This window comes from Homo sapiens, chromosome 8 (assembly GCF_000001405.40).
Source record: "Homo sapiens chromosome 8, GRCh38.p14 Primary Assembly".
NCBI classification, from domain to species: Eukaryota; Metazoa; Chordata; class Mammalia; order Primates; family Hominidae; genus Homo; species Homo sapiens.
The window spans coordinates 55,250,612-55,268,812 of NC_000008.11; the positions used below are offsets into that span (position 1 = coordinate 55,250,612).

An 18,201-nucleotide genomic window follows, 5' to 3' on the forward strand; every position below is an offset into this window, starting at 1 on the left:
CTGTGAACTCTCCTGAATTAATAAGATATTTAATAGAGGCAATTTTGCCATTTGCACTTTCTAATATCTAAGACATTCTTTGGCTGCTCATCATCTTATTTGAAATGGAAAAAAATGTACTAGCAACTGTGAATGTCAATTTTAGAATGTTCAATTAAAATAGAAGTGAAGACAACACTTAAAATATACTAGGAAATTTACTCATACTTTTTGAATAATTCAAATAATCAATGATTCTTTACCTTAAAACCATGGAAAACCCTGTTGTTAGGCACTTAGACAGCAAATTGGTGTTAGACCATTTTCAGTGGTCAACATAATTCATCCTTATCTATGGGAGAACCATGTATTCACAGAATACACACAATTTATAAAGCACACTTTGAGAGTGCTAGGAATCCAACAGGGACGAAGTACACCCTCAAGAAGCTGTAGGTATAGGTGTACGTATAGATATATGTGTGGTATAGGTATAGTATAGGCATAGGCGTAGACGTAAGTACAGTTACAGGTGTAGTGTAGATATAGGTGTATGTGTAGGTATAGATATGCGTGTAGGTGTATATTTAAGTATCGGTGTAGGTGTAGGTATAATAGAGGTAAGGTATAGACATTGGCATAGGTAAGAATACAGTCCTTTTCTGTAACCTGTTTTTACCAATGTTATTACTTTTCAGGTGTCATCCAGAACTATGAAAATCGCCCACATTCATTTAAGGTCAAGATTAACGGAGTCAGAGACAGCTTTCAGCTGCTGAATTTTAGAGGAGTTGCTGAATTTCAAATTGCATATAAGTGGCAGTTGGCTCTTTTGCAGGTTTATATAAAATTTTGTCTGCTGCCACTGCCTGCCTATTAACTTTTTTTAAACATAAAGACCATTGAAAGATAATTAGTTATGTGACTGGGATAGAATGGGTCCTATAGATCCATATAGCTTTGGAAAATAGTAAGTAGCTATTTCCTATGAAAGATTTGGAAGCTTAATGAATAAAAATATCCAGAATTTTTTTTAAGTCAAAACTCTAAATCTCTAAACCATGAAGGAAGTTCATTTCCTTTTAAGACAGTAGGTGTGGAGGATCATAATGAACATGAAGTTGTGATTCTAATACCGTTGTCGCTTATGCCTCTTTTGAAATACAGTAATGAGATAGCATTCATTTTGCTTTATGACTCCGCAAATGTTTGGCTTGAGCCACCAGTGAAACACTATGCCAACATAATTTATCGGTCTCTAAAACAAATACATTAACCTTTTCATTCTCAAGCCTGCCTTACTCTAATATCTGGTAACTTTTTATCATGCATTTGTTTTATTTGTCATTATTGGCCAAGATAGCAATTGTTTCACAGCATATTATACTGACTGGCCAATCCCATGAGTACCAGAGCATTTGTATTTCTACAGAAGTATCAGTTTCTTCTCAAATGGAAAATGCTTATTTGTCCCACCTTGGATTAGAATGGATAAAGCTTTGTAAAAATGTTATTCACCCTCCAATGGATTTAAATTATGTGCATTTGTAGAAAACTTCTCTAACCAGATTCAGTGTGTCCCAATGGTTTAAGAAAGAGGGTTTTTCAGGGTGGCAGCAACTGTATACTAAGCATAAGAAAAGCAAAATTTGTCTATGATGTCTTCATTTCAGTTAGATTCTTGCCATCAAGTTGGGCAAGTCTGCTGAAACCTCCTATTTAAAAAATGCAGATGTGAAACTGTATAAACCATTGCCTTTTATCTCCTAAAATTGAAGGATCTCAAACATGTACACTGAGAGGCAAGGACTATTTTTGTTTTATTGTGTATTTTGACTGCCTGCTCTTGGAACAAAGCAGACACTTAAATGTCTGCTGAATACACGGGTAGCTGGCTGGGGAGGAGGGCAACCAACACAAGACGCCGCCCGACCTTGATTCATTTGCCATAGATGGGAAATTAGGAGTTGGTGCAAATAATAATCTGAAATGCATAAAATTTGTCAGTCCACATTCTTATGCATAAACTGACTCAGGTTTTGCTTTGACAGAACTGGGCCATCCCCAGGATACACTGCCTCGATGGCCATATGTAAATGAGGACATGCATTGTTTATGCCAGAAGGTGTGTAGTTTACTGCTTTCTGATGTGTCAGTCCATGGGAAAGCCTCAAAAGAAAGAGACCCTGCTCAAAGTCTGTGAGGAGCTGGGACTTAGCTTGATTCTTTGTCCAGTGGGAGAGGCAGAGGCAGAAGGAATGGCAGAGAATGAAGGTTGATCAAAATCAGAAAGAGTACAGACCAAATGAGATATGCATGGGCTATTTCTGGGGCTCGTTGCCTTCAGCTTGTCCTGCCTTATGCTATATTCAGGCAGGGGATGGAACATAGGGAAGAAAAGTCATCTTGGCCTCCAGCTTTCCAAAAACCAGGGAGAGTAGGATATGATACCGGAAAGCACAGGGAGTGGAAAGAACACAAATCAAATGCATTTGCTTGATTTTACCTGCTTTGTTGAAGAGTTTTGTATGTAGAAACAGAAACTGTTTTGAAAATGGAGCATTTGGGTGATCTGAAAATTTTACTTACTATGCTATGCCTTTTCCTTCCGACGTAAATATTCTCTTCCTTCCTCAGCTCCATGGTAGTAAAAAAAAAAATATGACTAAAACTTTTCACCACCATGGAAGCCAAATGCAATTAAATGGCGACATGCCTCTGTGTTGCTTTCCTGATATGCTTCTTTACAAAGACGATGGATTTAATACCATTTATCTACATAGATGGCAGGGAAGCCACACTTTTTTTTGTAATCTTCATCTATAATTTCTACTGGGTTTATTTTTATAGCTACAATTAAAGTGGCAATAGAATAATATCCAACCCCATAATTTTTCCAACGAACCATTGTGAAAAATGAAAGGCTAGCAGTTCTGTAATATTTCTTTTCCAGCACTGCATAGATTGTGTCTTGTTCCAAGATTCTTACCTTAAGGATTTATGATGAACTTTAATGCAGGCAGCAAGTCACATTTTATTTAGAGAAGATCAAAGCCAAGGAGGCAAAGGGGTTATTGTTTTTGTGACAGTGTTGTGGGGTTCAGAGCTGGTCTCTCACAGATTATTTCATATTTTCTTTTCTTTTTTTTTTTTTTTTTTTTGAGACAGGGTCTCACTCTGTTGCCCAGGTTGGGATGCAGTGGCATGATCATGGCTTACTGCAGCCTCCACCTCCCATGCTCAAGCAATCCTCCCTAGTAGCTGGGACTGTAAGTGCACGTCACCATGCCTCAGGAATTTCTGTGTTTCTTGTGGAGGCAGAGTTTCACCACATTGCCCAGTCTGGTCTCAAACTCCTGAGTGTAAGCGCTTCACCTGCCTGGCCCCCCAAAGTGCTGGAATTATAGGCGCGAGCCACTGTGCCTGGCCTGTCGCCTATTTTCTTGTACACCTTGCCTCTCCTCTCTGTCTTGTGCTTGGTCGTATTTTTCTCTTCAACAAATGAGAGCGCTTGCTGTAGTGAAGTTGTTACATTCACATAGATTAATTCTTTAATCGAGCCTTTCTTCTTATGTTGTGTCAAAAAGAAAGAGAGAGATATATATAGAGAGAGAGATAAGGTATGCTCTTTCTGTTCTCACAGCCCTTCTCTTCCATTCCAAATAAGAAAAATGATTATTCACTTGTACGGTGCTGTGAGAATGGACCTGAACACATTTTAAACACACTGTAACTGTTTGTTCCAAGCAAATAATCACTGTATGTAATCCTGTCACAATTGGTGCTCTCTTATCCATGGCCCACGGTTGTCATGGATTGGGCGTGTGGCAGTTCAGAGAGTACAGGATAAAGCACAAACTTCAAGTGCTTTTCTTTTTCTAGGCAAAATCTATAAATGACCTTTTTCAGTGTCTTGCTAAACAATCTCATGGAACTCGTGATCCTTTTTTTGACTAGAAAGGAATGTTCACGGTTTGATAAAGGAAGCGTCGATCTCAGAACTGCACCTAGACAGTCTCGTTCCTGATGCTAGAAAGGCACTGAGCAGAGGGTCAGGTTGTGCCTGGAGGCTGGGGAACGATATGCCAAACTGTTCGGGGAACCCTAGAACCGCATGCTCTCTAGAGTCAGCCTGTCATTTCACCTCCCCACATGCAGTGGCCTCTGCCTCAGGGAATGAAGCCCAGGCTCAACCTGATTTCCCACAGGTTCGAACTGACTTATTTGTGGGTTAAAAACTTCCTGACTACCAAAGACTCCTCTTTCTATTTCTCCCCACTGGCCCCCAATATTGAAAGATTTTGTCTACTCATGAATTATATTCTGAAATCATGATACACTTTCCCTGTTAGCGGATGTCATGCACGACAACCAAGCTGATGCTTTCCGGATGCTATGAAAGAATCAGCATTGCCACACCCAGTGCACCGAATTTAAGCTAAAGCCAAGCAAAACAAATAGGCTTTTAATTATTCTGCACAACTTCCTTGAGTATCAGTGCAAAATTTCCAGTAAATACCTGTATGTCTCCACAATTACATTCATGAGCTTTTTAGAGAAAACTCTTATCTATGAACATGTTCTCTTTTCTGGCTCTGGATGGTAGAGTGCCTGGGGTTTGGAAATCTGTCAGACCTGACTTAGAATTTTACTAGCGGTGTGGCCTTAGATAAGTTATTTTACTTCTCAGAGCCTACAGTCAGAAATAAAGAAAAAACATAGAAAGTGCCTACAACAGTATACAATGAGGAGTCAATGAATGCAGTATTTTAAAAATTAGGTACTTACTGTCTGCTAGCTATCATCATAATTTCCCACACAATTTCCAGCATTTATCCCAATAACTTTTTATTTTCATCCAATTACCAAATTAATATAATAAATAATTTATTGTGAATTTCATGAAGGCGAAGACTGGGTCTTTTGTCTTTGGATTCTCAGCACTTAGAGTGATGCTTAGGCATAAAGAAAGTGATCAGGGTATGCTTAGTGTATAAATGAACAACCAAATCTAAAAACTGATGTTAAATAATAATAATTATATTTATATATCTGCACACATACAAATGTACAAGAATTGTAATTAAACATAAAAGTAAGCCCCTCGAGAAAAACTACACAAATAGGAGACAGTTAACCTTAAGAGATTAGCAAGGAGCTCTTTGTTTAAGTTTGTGAAGTCATAAATTACATGAGCTGTGATAGACAAATTGCCTGTGGTCAGAGCTGGTGCGATACAAATGAGTGTCCGTTGTCTGCCAGGCAGAGTTGTAGGTGCTGAAGATGGTAGACAAAGGGTATGTTTCCTGCCCATAATGAGCTTACAGAAGAATAGTACAAGAGACACATCGTCCAATCATTCCAACAGAGGGAGATTTGTGCAATGATAGAGGTGTGTCTAGGATGCCGGGGTGCGTCAAGCCCTGGAGTAGAAAAGGGATGCCCCTTTTCTAGGGGTTGTATCTAGGCAGAGTTAAAAGGATTAATAGCTCAGGGGAGCTGAAGGATGAGCTGAGGCTGAGGAAGGCAGGGTAAAAGTATTCCAGGAAAAGGATACTTCACAAAATTAGGTGGAGACTTCATAGAGTCTTATGTTGCTAGAAGGTAAAGTGTGAGGCTGAGAATGAAGGAAGTTGAGACTGAGGACTTGGGTCTTATGGATCTTATTGAAGAACTTGAACTTTATTCTGAACTTTCACTGGTACCTTGAAAAAATTTAAACCAAAGAATGGCATGGCCAGATTGCATTTTGTATGAATCCCCTTGGTGGCTGTATGGAGAATGGATTTGAGAAAGATGAGACTGGGTTCTGGGAAACTATTCAGTGGCTGCATTTGCAATTAGTCCAGGAAACTGGAAACCAAGGCATTGAAGTTGGGATGGAAAGGAGATAGTAATTTGGGAAACATTTAGGAAACAATATCAGCAGAAGTTGGTAATTAATGGGATGTTAGAGTTGAGCTGAGGGAAGAGTCTAAGTTCTTCATTTGCATGACTAGATGTAAGGGTATTTTCTCCATTGAGAGAGAGAATGCTGATGGAGGAATGGGATTTCAGAGGTAGGGGGATGAGGCAAGTCTGAGATGCCTACTAAATGCTAAAGGTGGTGGAGCTGAAACCTCAAAGGTAAGATTTAAAATAGAGTCTCAGTCAGGTCATCTGCACCTGGAAGATGAGAAGTTTTACTTCTGAGATGGTTCTGTGGCATAAACCACGCCTGGGTTGACATGGTGTCTTAGTCCATTTGGCTGTATAACAAAATTTCTTAGGCTGGGTAACGCATAAATAACAGAAATATATTGCTCACACTTCTGGAGGCTGGGAAGTTCAAAATCAAGGGTCCAGCAGATGTGGTGTCTGGTGAGGGCCCATTCTTCATAAATGGCACCTACTTGCTGCATCCTTTCCACCTCTTTTGTAAGGGTACTGATCCCATTCATGAGGGTGGAGCCCTCCTGACTTAATCACTCCCAAAGCCTTCATCTCTTAATACCATCACATTGCGTATTAGGTTCCAACATAGGAATTTTGGGGGAACACCAACATTCAGACCATGCACACAGCTTCATAATGTAAGGAGGAAGCTGATCCAAACAGGAGCAGATTAAAGCCCATATATAGCTTCATTACATATTCTAAGGCTTCCTTAAGAATTAGACAGAGTCAACTCACGAAGTCTGAAATAAAGGACAGGGCATCAAGTGAGTTCATATAATAAATATATATCCACAGTTGAAAATTTAAAAATAGATATTTCTAAAGAGAAAGATGGAGGCAGAAATGAAAAAAGAGAGCAGAGTGGAGGAGAAAGAGAAGAAAGAGCAATTCAGAGAGAGGAAGGGACGAGGGGAGAAAATGAGAGAGAGAGAGAGAGAAAGAGAGAGAAAGGGCATGTACTTAAGAGAAGAAAAAGAGTTCCTGCTCCTGGGAATTTCAAAGCAATCCTGGCCACTCATCTGCAATCTGGAATGAAAACCCTATAGCAGTATGTTTCCTTTCTGCTTTAAGTTCAAAAACTTAAACTTTTATGCAAATATATGCAGAATCAATATTATATGTGTATACTAAATACTCATGGGTTTGCATTTTAAACTTTCAGGAGTATGTTTAGTTATGTGACACTTTATTAATATTGAACTGATACTGTGGCTTTTCACTCTCAAATAAAGGAAACACATTTCCAGGGTTTGAAAAGAGGAAAACGATTGATTTTTGCATTCCGGTGTTTTCTATGAGCCCCTCCAACATCTAAAATGTATCTCAGGTCATATTTGTTTTCTTCATACACAAATTCTGTTCTCTCCTCTGAGGTTGCCTTTCTGTTGGCTTCTTCCTGCCCCCAGTGGGAATCCAGCAGGAGCCACACAAGATGAAACAGTCAGTGAAATAGCTCAGACCGTGGGCTCTGGACTGGATTCCAGCCCCAGTGCTGAGTCCTGAGCTGGTGACCCCAGGCACCTCATCTAACAGCTGTGTCTCAGTTATGTTACTGAAAAAAACAGGGTACCTATGACTGGTGAGCAACAAACAACTCTCCATGAGAATGCAGGTTTTGCTCAGTGGTTTTATTACTTGGCACAAGGAAGGGGGACACTGGGTATATCCTCCAAAGCAGTGTCTTCCCGAGGGAAAGCGACAGACAGGTTTTACAGAGCAATGGGGAGGGAAGAGAGGTTTGGGTGCATCCTCACGTGTAGAGGAGGAGCCCAGTTGCTCAGATGCAGTGAGTGATTAGGCCTGCACATGGATCACAGGGAGGCTTTAGCAAGGTAAAGAGGAACGTTCACTTGGGTTCATCTATAAATTGCTGGGGTCTGTCAGAAGCTGTTTCTAAAACCACTGCATGACAGAAGGCTGTAAAACAGGCTGATTGCTCAAGTCAATTAAATTCCTATAATCCCTGGAGACCCTCCCTGCCTTCCTACAGTTATGAGAAACCTAAAGCGGGAATGACATCAATGTCCACCTCACAGAGCTGTCCGGTGAAATGGGAAAAATTTCAGCAAAGCACTTAGTCTGATGTCTGGTAATGGGTCAACACTCCATACTGAGCAATCATTATTATTATTTAAACAGATTTGATTATTTTTTAATTAAAAGCATCATCATTTAATAGCTTGCTAATGATCATTTGTATTGTTATTCTTATTTAAGGATTAAATCTGCACTCCCGTGGGGCATAGGCCTCTAGCATTGCTGTCACTTCCTTGCTGTCCCCTCCAAGCCCCAAACTCAAAAGTTCAGGACCTGTGGCCCCAGAAAGAGAATGTGCAGCCACCGGGGAGTTGGAAAAGCTGGGCAAAACCAAGATTGGTTTTAGGATCTTCTCAGATTTAAGAATACTCCTTCTTTTGGATGGATGGTGGCTTGAATGTCTTCATCACAAGAGACTGAATTTCAGGACACAGAAGAAAGACAGGCTCAAGGCAGGGGAAGCTCAGGCATTCGTGTCCCTGCCTGCAGGGAAAATGCCTGGGACTCTTTAAGCCACCATGTTCTACAACACAGTGCATGAGGTAAGAGAAGGTGAACTTCATACTGGCCAAGCACTGCTGCACTGCAGATCATAGCACCGGCATCCACTGCGCGGGGACGCACCTGGGGTGGGCCTCGCAGCTTTAGATCCATGATTCTGGGTTCAGGTTGTTCTTGAGAATTTAGCCATTGTAACCCTTGGCTTCCGTGTTTGTGAAATGGTGGTGAAATTACCTAGTTTGATCATGAAGATTAAATTAGATAATGTATGTAAAGGACTTAATATCGGGCATTAACAAACATGATAGGAATGGCAGCTACTAGTGCGATATGAGTTGATTTCGTTCTCCTACCCTATGATGGATCAGTTGCTGAGGTACAGAGAATGACGGAGAGTGCCCAAGGTTACAGCGATTGAAGAAGTGGTGAGGTTGGGGTTTGCCCTTCGTTGTAACTGACTCCAGAGCCCACACTCCACAGCTCTGAGAGGCTGGAGTGCATGGGGACCCTCGCTTGATGTGGGGACCCTGGCTTGATGTGCGTGAGGGTGAAGCACATTCCTGGAGCAGAGGGAAGTGATTCATCTCTCCCGAGGCTCTTGCACTGTAATGATGTAAATTATTAGCCCTATTGATCTACCTATCTGGTCATTTTATGGCACTTTTCAGTGGAGAACCGAAAGGCTTATGCTAATTAATAGTCCTGAATCCTAACAGACTTTATTACATTTAGAAATGGGAAATTCTAATTAAACTTAATGAATCTAATTTCCTTCTGGCCTTTATTCAAATTCACTGAGACCTGCCCTAGCCGTCCTATCTAAAATTTCCACACCACACACTCACCCACCCACCCACTGCCCCTCCCCACCCCTTGTGTATAAAACTTCCTGTGGCTCTTCTCTTCTTTCTGTGTTCACCTTAACACTTATCACTATCCAGGATTCTCTGCAATTACTCCTCTATCTCACTTGCTGTCTATCTCCCCTACTAGGTGTACTTCATGAGGGCTTGCATTTTGGATTTTTTCACTGGCTGTATCATCAACACCTAAAGCAGTACCAGGCACAGTGGGCGCTTAAAGAATACTTGCAGAATATATGGACAAATGAATCCCTATTCTTTCCCCTACAGCTGTTCACTCTTTAACCTGACTCTCTCAGAGATCCAAAATTCTCCAGCTAGTTGAACTACCTCCCCTTTTTTATAATTTGCTTCTAAAATCCCTCATGGTGTTTCATTTCTGTTCCATCACCTATTGTGACCTCAATTAAACAAGTAAATAGACAAAATGGATCTGTTTGCCCTAGAGGTATTGAATTGATTTCTATGAAAGGTATGGAAAAGGCTATTTAGTATTTCCACCACCCTACTGAAGCAGTATTGTTGTCTGGTGTAAATATCCGAGGTTCGTTGCCTCACGCCAAGGAAATCAAGGACATGGACACACATGGAGTGAGGTTTAGAGTGCAGGTTTACTAGGCAAAAGAAAAAGAAAAAAAGAGAATAGCTCACTCTCTTGTGAGAGAGAGGGGCCTGCAAGTGGGTCTTCCAGCTGGTGGCGGAGTGCACAGGGTTTTATAGACAGGCTTGAGGAGGTGGTGTCTGATTTACACAGGGCCCAAAGATTGGTTGGACCAGGTGTCACATTTGCATAGTGCATAGGGAAGCTGGCCACCCCACCCTAATTTTATTATGCAAATGAAATCTTTGCCTGACTGGTGCCATGTAGTCTGCTCCAGACTGCACATGTGGTTGGCAAGGAAAAGGGAAGATGGAGCCGCCATTTTGAACATGCCTGGTCCCAGGTAGCCTTTTCCTATTGGCACAGCTGCCAGCATTCACCTGTGCAAGCTTCTAGCTTGTCTATGTCTGCAGCTTGATTTTACAGGCTGCTCCTTGTTAGAAAAGAAAATGATTTGGGGGCTGCTTTTCATTAAAAGCAAAACTTTATCAAGGACTTCCTTACCCTCACAATCTGTCTAAATAATTTCTTCTTAACTCCTATATCACTACCTGGGAAGGTGAGATGTTAGGGGAACCATATTTTATTAAAGGGAAGAAAAGGAGAGGAAAGAAGACACACAGAAGAAAAATTAGTAGACTAGGAATCAGGGTGCCTGGGTTCTAATGCTGGCAGTTGCTAATCACGTGACCTTGGGAAAGCATTGAACCTTTCCAGAACTAAGCTTCCTCTTCTGGAAAAGAAATGGGTCAGACAAGATACCCCCAAATTCTTCAAAGACCTAATATCCTAGACCTAGCCATATATAGATCTAACTAGCTCTAACATTCTGTGACTCAAGATAACTTAAAATATGTTTTCTAACATCAGAAACACTTTCAGATCTTAGTTTATGCTATGGTTTTTAAAAATATTATTTTCTTTTCTTGGGTGTAAGCATTGATCCAACAAGGTTTAGGTCAAAGATCTTTCATTTTGAATTCCTTTGCGCCCAAGCCAACCCATCATTTTTTGAAGAGTAATAGAAACAAAACTGTCAGGATTTTCAAAATTGATGGAAGGTGGCCTTTGGCAGTCTTTTGAATTTGCTCTCTAGGCTCATGCAAAACATGCAAAATAAAGCTTCAAGCTTTCTTTGAAAATGAAATTGGTTTGAAACTAATAGGGATTTGGAAACAGACAGCTGAGCAGATTTCCTTCTGTAAATATCACGTGAGTTCTCCATGGGGCATGGAAATTCGAGGAATTTAAAAATAGTCTTTGGTCATTAATAGATCGAAGTGTTACTTCTGGAATATGAGAAGGTGATATTAAGTTCTCATCTAAGAAAGAAAAGGGAAGATTTGGCTTTTTTTTTTAAAAAAAAGTATATTCATATAAAGTATCTTTTTGTAGACTGTAAGCAGTATCTTTATCCACGTCCTGGAAGAGAGATGGTTATTAATCTTAATAAAATGAGAGGTCATGAGAGCATTAAGTTGAGAAATTTCAATGAATAAGGTTGAGACGAACTTTTCCCAGATATCATCTGAAAACTGCCTTAGATAAGTTTTAAAATGAGTCTGACTTTGCATAATAATGGAGAATATAGATGTAAATATTTTATGGACATTAACAAATAGGTAGGATATTGATAAATTAATTCTTTAATGAAACATGTTAAGTATAATGGCTCTGACATTTATTAAGTACCTTCTGTGAACTAGTTATTTATATAAATTGCCAGAATTAATCCACGTAACAAACGTGTGAGGGAGATATGATTTTTCCATTAATCTTAGAGGAAACAGGCTCAGAAAGATCTGAACATTTGCTTAAGACAAAATATCTAATAAGTGGTTATTATGGACTGAATGTTTGTGTCCCTGAAAAAATTCACATGTTGAAGCCTTACCCCCATTGTGATGGAATTAGGAGGTGGGAGACTTTTGGAAGTGATGAGGTTTAGTTAAGGGCAGGAAGGTAGAGCCCCAGTGATGGGATTAGTGTCCTTAAAGAAGATAACGGAAAGATCAGAGCTTTCTCTCACATGCACTGAGGAAAGGCCATGTAGGGACATAGTGAGAAGACAACCGTCTGTAAACCAGCAAGAGAGGCCTCTCCAGGAATCAAGTCAACCAGGACCTTGGTCTTGAACTTCCCGGCTTCCAGAGCTGAGAGAGGTAAACGTCTCTTGTTTAAGCCACACACCCTGTGGTGCTTTATTATTGCAGCCCAAGCTGACTATGACAGTGGTAGAGCTGGCATTAGATGCCCACTCTTAGATTTCAAAGTCCATGCCAACGAGGATGTGAGATCAAGAAACTGTCATGGGCTGGAGGCGTCCCGTAGGCTAGATGGATGCACCAAAGGATTGTGGATCACTGTGGTCCACGGGGCAAGAGCATAATGTGGTGAAATCTTTTCCTACAAGAATAGAAACCCTGAAGGCAGGGAGATACCTTCCCAAGTCTCTCACTTCCCCACACGCCCTGCACAGCATTGGCCTCTGAGTCCTGCAGCTTTTTCTCTGTCCCTCTGACCACCCTGCTCTTTCTGCCTCAGTTCAGTTCAGCCCCCTCTCTCCACTGGGCTTCCTGCCTTCAGTCTTGCCCCTTTAGTCCATCATAACCCAGGAGTGATCTCCTTAAAACTCTTAAAACTAGAAATGACTTATGTTACTTTCCTGCTTTAAACCTTTCTATGGCACATGGAGTGTCACTACCCCATGTGGGGAGCATTAGTGTCCCACTCTAAGGAGAACGTATGGATGTGTGACACCACCGTGGCCGTTGTTGCCATCACAAGGTGGTGCCAAGGGCTGTAATCTGTGCCCTGGTCATGGCCCATGAGGTGAGGTCCTAAGTGCACCCCATGTTGTCTTCTTTGTGTGATCTGATGCCATTCTTCTCATTCTCTTCCCTGCACTTTTCCTTAGGGTCAGCCAGATCTGGTAAGTAGGTATGCTCTTCTAGGGATAAAGGCAGAAATAAATACAAAACTAGAGCACTCAGATTTTGAAGCTGAAATAGCATGCGTATGTAAATAATGCATATTTGAAGTAATCACTGTAATGCTATTTATAGCACACCTTTTCACCCAAGGATGGCAAAACAGTTTACAAATATTCTCTTTCTAGTCCTTACTGTATTCCAATATATTGTGCTATATGTGCAATTTTGAGCTATGAATTTCTTTCTTTCACCTTACAAACAATATCTGGGTAATTTGTTGAGTCATTTAACATAGGGTCAACACTTGGGAATCAACGTCTTTTTGAATGCAGACTAAAACACAGCACTTGGCTGAAACAAACGTCTGAGTACTGCAGTCATCAAGCCACACTCAGGGTTGCAGAAATGCATTGAAGAACTTTTAGGGCCACTTCTCATTCTCTTGATTGAAATTAGGAAAATGGTCATTGCAGGTGTATTGAAGGCCAAGGGAGCCTCCATACGTGAGTTGTTTTAAAGGCACATTTCTTCACCATCCAGAACAGGACCCATGGCTGAGGCACAGTACTCCAAAGCACTACATAATGTCTCCCAAATCTCCCTTGCTCATCTTACTGCTGCTATGCTGGCCTCCTTCCATTACTAGAATATGCTGGGCATGGTCTGGACTCAGGGCCTTGGCACCTGCTGTTCTCACTGGCTGGAGGCTCTTCCCCTGCATGTCATCCCAGCTCCCTCCTCACTCCACTTTGGTCTAAAGCAGAATCCTTAATTATCCTTGCCTCCCATCACCCTGCTTTCTATTTCTCCTTTGCCTTTATCAGTATGTGGCAGATTTTATGTTTATTGGTTTATTGTTTTTCTTTCTTTTCCATAATACACACTCCATGAGAACAGAAATTTTGCCTATTTTGTTCACTGTTGTATCTACTAGTGCCTAGAACAGTGCCTGAAACATAGAAGTCCTTAGGAAATATTTGATGTAAGCAAATAGATGAACAAGCTGTCCCTGGCTAACATCTGTAGGGTTACTAGAACAATCAGTATGATTATTCACAACTGTGTTTCACTGGCTCTTCTCCAGATAAACTGGTAAAGTCAATGTCTAAGCCACATTTCGTACCTTAGTATGTGAAACTATGAATTTCCATGAGGTTTGTAATTTTAACTAAGAAATCATGTAAAGGGAAGATACTTTCATGGTTTGCAAGTTGTCCTTAAGGCAGAAACCCTCACACAAAGCAATTAATTAGCATGCAGAATAGAAAACCCTGAATTGAGAATTGCAATGCATCAATATGGTCATTATACATCATTCCTCTTAATATGATTTGTTTCTGTCTACACAAAACATAGACAGAATGTATATTCCTATATATAACACACATGCTTTGTATTTGCTTTTGAAGACAGATTGCTTTTAAGACTTGGGGATATATGGGAAGAATCTCAGTCTTTCCAAATTCCAAACCAAAAAAGTCTCTTCTAGCTGCTAGATGCCAGATAGTTCTGTCTGCTACAGCCAGGTTTCCACAGGCCATATGCATCATCTTAAATTATGACTTTGAAGCATTTCTTTTGACCACTGTGTTCGCAATCATCCTAAGATGTCTGCTTGTGTATTTTTCTGCAAGCCATCTTCCACCCTTATCCTGTCAAGGAGAAGCTATTGAAGCTAGTAGGGTATCACTACAAGCAGATGGATTTTATTCCAGAATCCCATTCCTGGTGAAGATGCACCATCATCAGGACCACTAGCAGTGTCCTCTCTGCAGAGTGTTTTCCAACTGGTCAGGAAATAAAGACTAGGAAATATGTGTCTACAACTGCTTCAAAATGTGCATTTGACACATGTCTGTTTCAGGGCTGAAGTCAGTTTTGGCTTCATGCCAGCTGAAGGCAACTATGAATTATTCCAGAAGGTTAAGATCCCCATGTGGCTCCAAGGCTGGCCTGAAAACGAACCCATTCCAAACTTGGTCCCTCAGCAGTGGGATCCCGAAGGCCAGAGCTGGGTTTGGCAGATGGGGTGAGTTTCTCAGAGACAGAAGTAGGGAAGATAAGTAGGGTGTAAAAACCATGTTCAACCTAAGAGTAAGAAAGGGAGGGGGCTGGGCATAGTGGCTCATTCCTGTAATCCCAGCAATTTGGGAGGCCAAGGCAGGAGGATTGCTTGAGCCTAGGAGCCTAGGAGCCTGGGAAAAATAGCAAGACCCTGTCTCTATAAAAATTCCTGGCTGGGCACGATGGCTCTTGCCTGTAATCCCAGCATTTTGGGGGGGTCAAGGCGGGCAGATCATGAGGTCAAGAGATCAAGACCATCCTGGTCAACATGGTGAAACCATGTCTCTACTAAAAAAAAAAATACAAAAATTAGCTGGGTGTGGTGGCATGCACCTGTAGTCCCAGCTACTTGGGAGGCTGAGGCAGGAGAATCGCTTGAACCTGGGAGGCAGAGGTTGCAGTGAGCTGAGATCATGCCACTGCACTCCAGCCTGGCTGGAGTGAAACTCCATCTCAAAAAATAAATAAATATATAATAAAAAATTTAAAAATTCTTAAATATAGGCATGTAGTCCCAGCTACTTGAGGGCCTGAGGTGGGAGGATTGCTTGAGCCTGGGAGGTTGAGGTTGCAGTGAGCTATGATTGTGTCACTGCACTCCAGCCTCAGTGACAGAGTGAGATCCTATCTCAAGAAAAGAAATGGAAACTTTCAAGTCTGATGATTCGGTGTGATGGGGCAACATGGGAGCAGGTATGAGGCAAAGCTGACAAGGAGTGATGTGAGCGCAGTACAGTGGGGCTTTCTAGGGGTATGGAGCAACCCCTGTGTTTCCATGGCTGCGTCCTCCAGTTGCCTCTGTCTTAGTGCATTGCATGGCACCATCCTCCAGCTGTCTCTGTCTTAGTGCATTGCATGGCACCCCATGGGTTTGACTTAAAGGTCCACAGTCAGAATGGACACAGATTTAATCTGCGAAGAGGGTAATAGAGCAGAAAGAGTGCCCGTGACATTTGCTAATGACAGCACACAGAGAAGGAGAGGCATCCAGCCCTTTTGAAAGAAGATAGAAACTCAATATACTCGTGGAAAAGTTGAAGACTAGTCAGTTGCAACCAGAATGGAATACAAGATGTACATGGAGAGGGAGGGAAAAGCAACCTGTTCAAGTATGAGATCAAAAATGAGAGGTTTTGTGATTTTCTGGACGGCATGGCTGTGTTTTGCTGTTAAAGAATTAAGAAGGAAGCTGAGATTCTGTCTTGGGGCAAGAACCAGAACAGCCCTCTATTCCTCACCCTGAGTGTCCTGGGTGGATCTGATCCTCTTAAAGAGACCCCTCCTCTGAGTTTGTCTAATAGAAAGCAGAGACAAAAAGTGTATATCCTGTATAAATATCATTAGCATCGCATGCCTGTGGGATAGAGTGCATGTTATGTGGTGGTAGTGGCCAAGAGGCATTACAGGACTTGTGTCCCCTAATGATGGCCAAAATGAATTCACGACCTCTCCTCCCATTATGCAATGACAAGATCAAAGATCAGGTAATATTTTAATAATTACTGGAACAAGAAAGATGGAGAAATCTGATGGGGTTGGTGCAGGAAGCATTTTGGAAGTTTTAGTATAACCAGAGCATGAGGATGGTGAGGATATCAAGTAGGTGTGGGAGGTGAAGGGGAGCTAGCAGAAAATCAATGGAGCTAATTCAGAGGCTTAGACAAAAGTGAAATATAATAAGGAATATCCAAACTAGAGAAAAAAAAACCTATGGGTTACTATATGGTGGGCATCTGGTGACCATCCAGTGTTACAAATAAACTAAATTCCAGTCTAGTAAGTAACATTTATGTGACACTGTTGAGGCTGTAAAGAATGTCTGCATATAATGTAAACTGCTTTTTCCAGCAACCCTGTGGAGTAAGTGTAGTGTTATTATCCTCACTTCACAGGCGAGGAAGTGAGACCCAGAAAACTTAAATGACTGTCTCAAGGCCACAGAACAGGTCTTAGTTGGCATAATGCACACCTAGCTGCTGAAACAGACAATTCCCAAAGCAAAGGGACTTATTAATAGAGTTGTATGCTTGCAATCCACCAGTAAAATTAAGTACAGCATAAGGAAGAGGTTTCAGGCATTAAATTGTAACCAAAGTGTTAAGGGTTGTGATAGTTTGGTGGGTTTAGGGTTTTATTCCTATTATCTTTTTTTTCATTTTTGCAATAGAGTTGCATTATTTTTATAATGACTATAATAATTTTACAATTGACAAAAGATTTATAATTTGATAGAAGATCCTCTGATTACTCTCTGAACTTAAGGATAGACTCATCTAAGAGCTTCTTCCATCCTGCACCTCACGTCCAATTATTTCTTAGACAGTAGAAGTGCTCTGTAGGAAGAAGAGAAATCTCATAAGATGTTTGCTGACCTGCTGAATAGTTTGTGGTGATGTATAAACTGAGCCAACCCTATTTCTCTTTTAAATGGTGTTAATTTAGAAAAACAAGTTCTGGCTAAGGGATAAAAGAGGACATATGGAAATGAAAGATTAAGCGATTAATTGAGGAGAAAAAGCTGTGCAGTTGGGCTCTGTCCTATATTGGATGTTCATTACGCCAACTAATGGATAATATATAATTATGAAAAGACATTGTCGGAACAGCACCCAAGTCTATTGATTTTGCCATCATGAGTACATTATGCTCTATCTTCACGAGATTAAAACGAATGGAGAGGGTAACAAGATTCTCTATGAATTAGAGTCATTCATTTTCATTTCGAGAAAGGGAAGTTTGCTATATTTTCAGCATTTTAATTGAGATCTAGCAGATGAGAACTTTACAAGGCAATAATTTTAAACAGAATTTATTTCTATCTTAACAGTAAATTGGTATAATGATACCAATGTTAGTCTCAAGGTAAAATGTTGAAGAGATTTAGCACCATAGAGGAAAGACAGCTTGCAACTGATGTTGATACTGCTAATTGTGCTAGCCAGTCTCGTGTATTTTAATACATGGTAGGTAAAAATGCCGCATTACATAATTAGGTTTTTAAAATTCAGCAGATATTTACTACATATCTACCAAAAGCAAGGCCCTATTTTATAGGTAATAAAAAGAATTTTAGTATATGTTCCTTCCCTTCAAAAAAGATAGTTAGGAAGACAATTAATAATAATAATAGCAACAGCATCAACGTTTGTTGGGCACTTAAAATGAACCTAGCTTTGAGTGCATTGTTTTTACTGGCATTAAATCACTTAATCCCCGCAAGATCCCTGTAAGTGCCATATTTCTATTCCTATTTTATTAGATGAGGAGATGGAGGTGGAGAGTGTTT

The 18,201-nt window shown here is 40.7% G+C and overlaps 1 protein-coding gene across 1 annotated transcript in view, besides 1 other annotated feature; it reads left to right on the forward strand.

The window, feature by feature from the left end:
- Positions 1 to 18,201, forward strand: part of XKR4 (XK related 4) — a 440,027-nt gene that overhangs the window by 148,584 nt on the left and 273,242 nt on the right. The window lies entirely within an intron of this gene.
- Positions 7,802 to 9,001: an enhancer, noted in NCBI's record as "BRD4-independent group 4 enhancer chr8:56170973-56172172 (GRCh37/hg19 assembly coordinates)". NCBI's record gives its function as "activates an origin of replication core promoter dependent on BRD2, P300/CBP, MED14 and CDK7 cofactors, and independent of BRD4, by STARR-seq in HCT116 cells {active_cell/tissue: HCT116}" and the evidence as "EXISTENCE:reporter gene assay evidence [ECO:0000049][PMID:35650434]".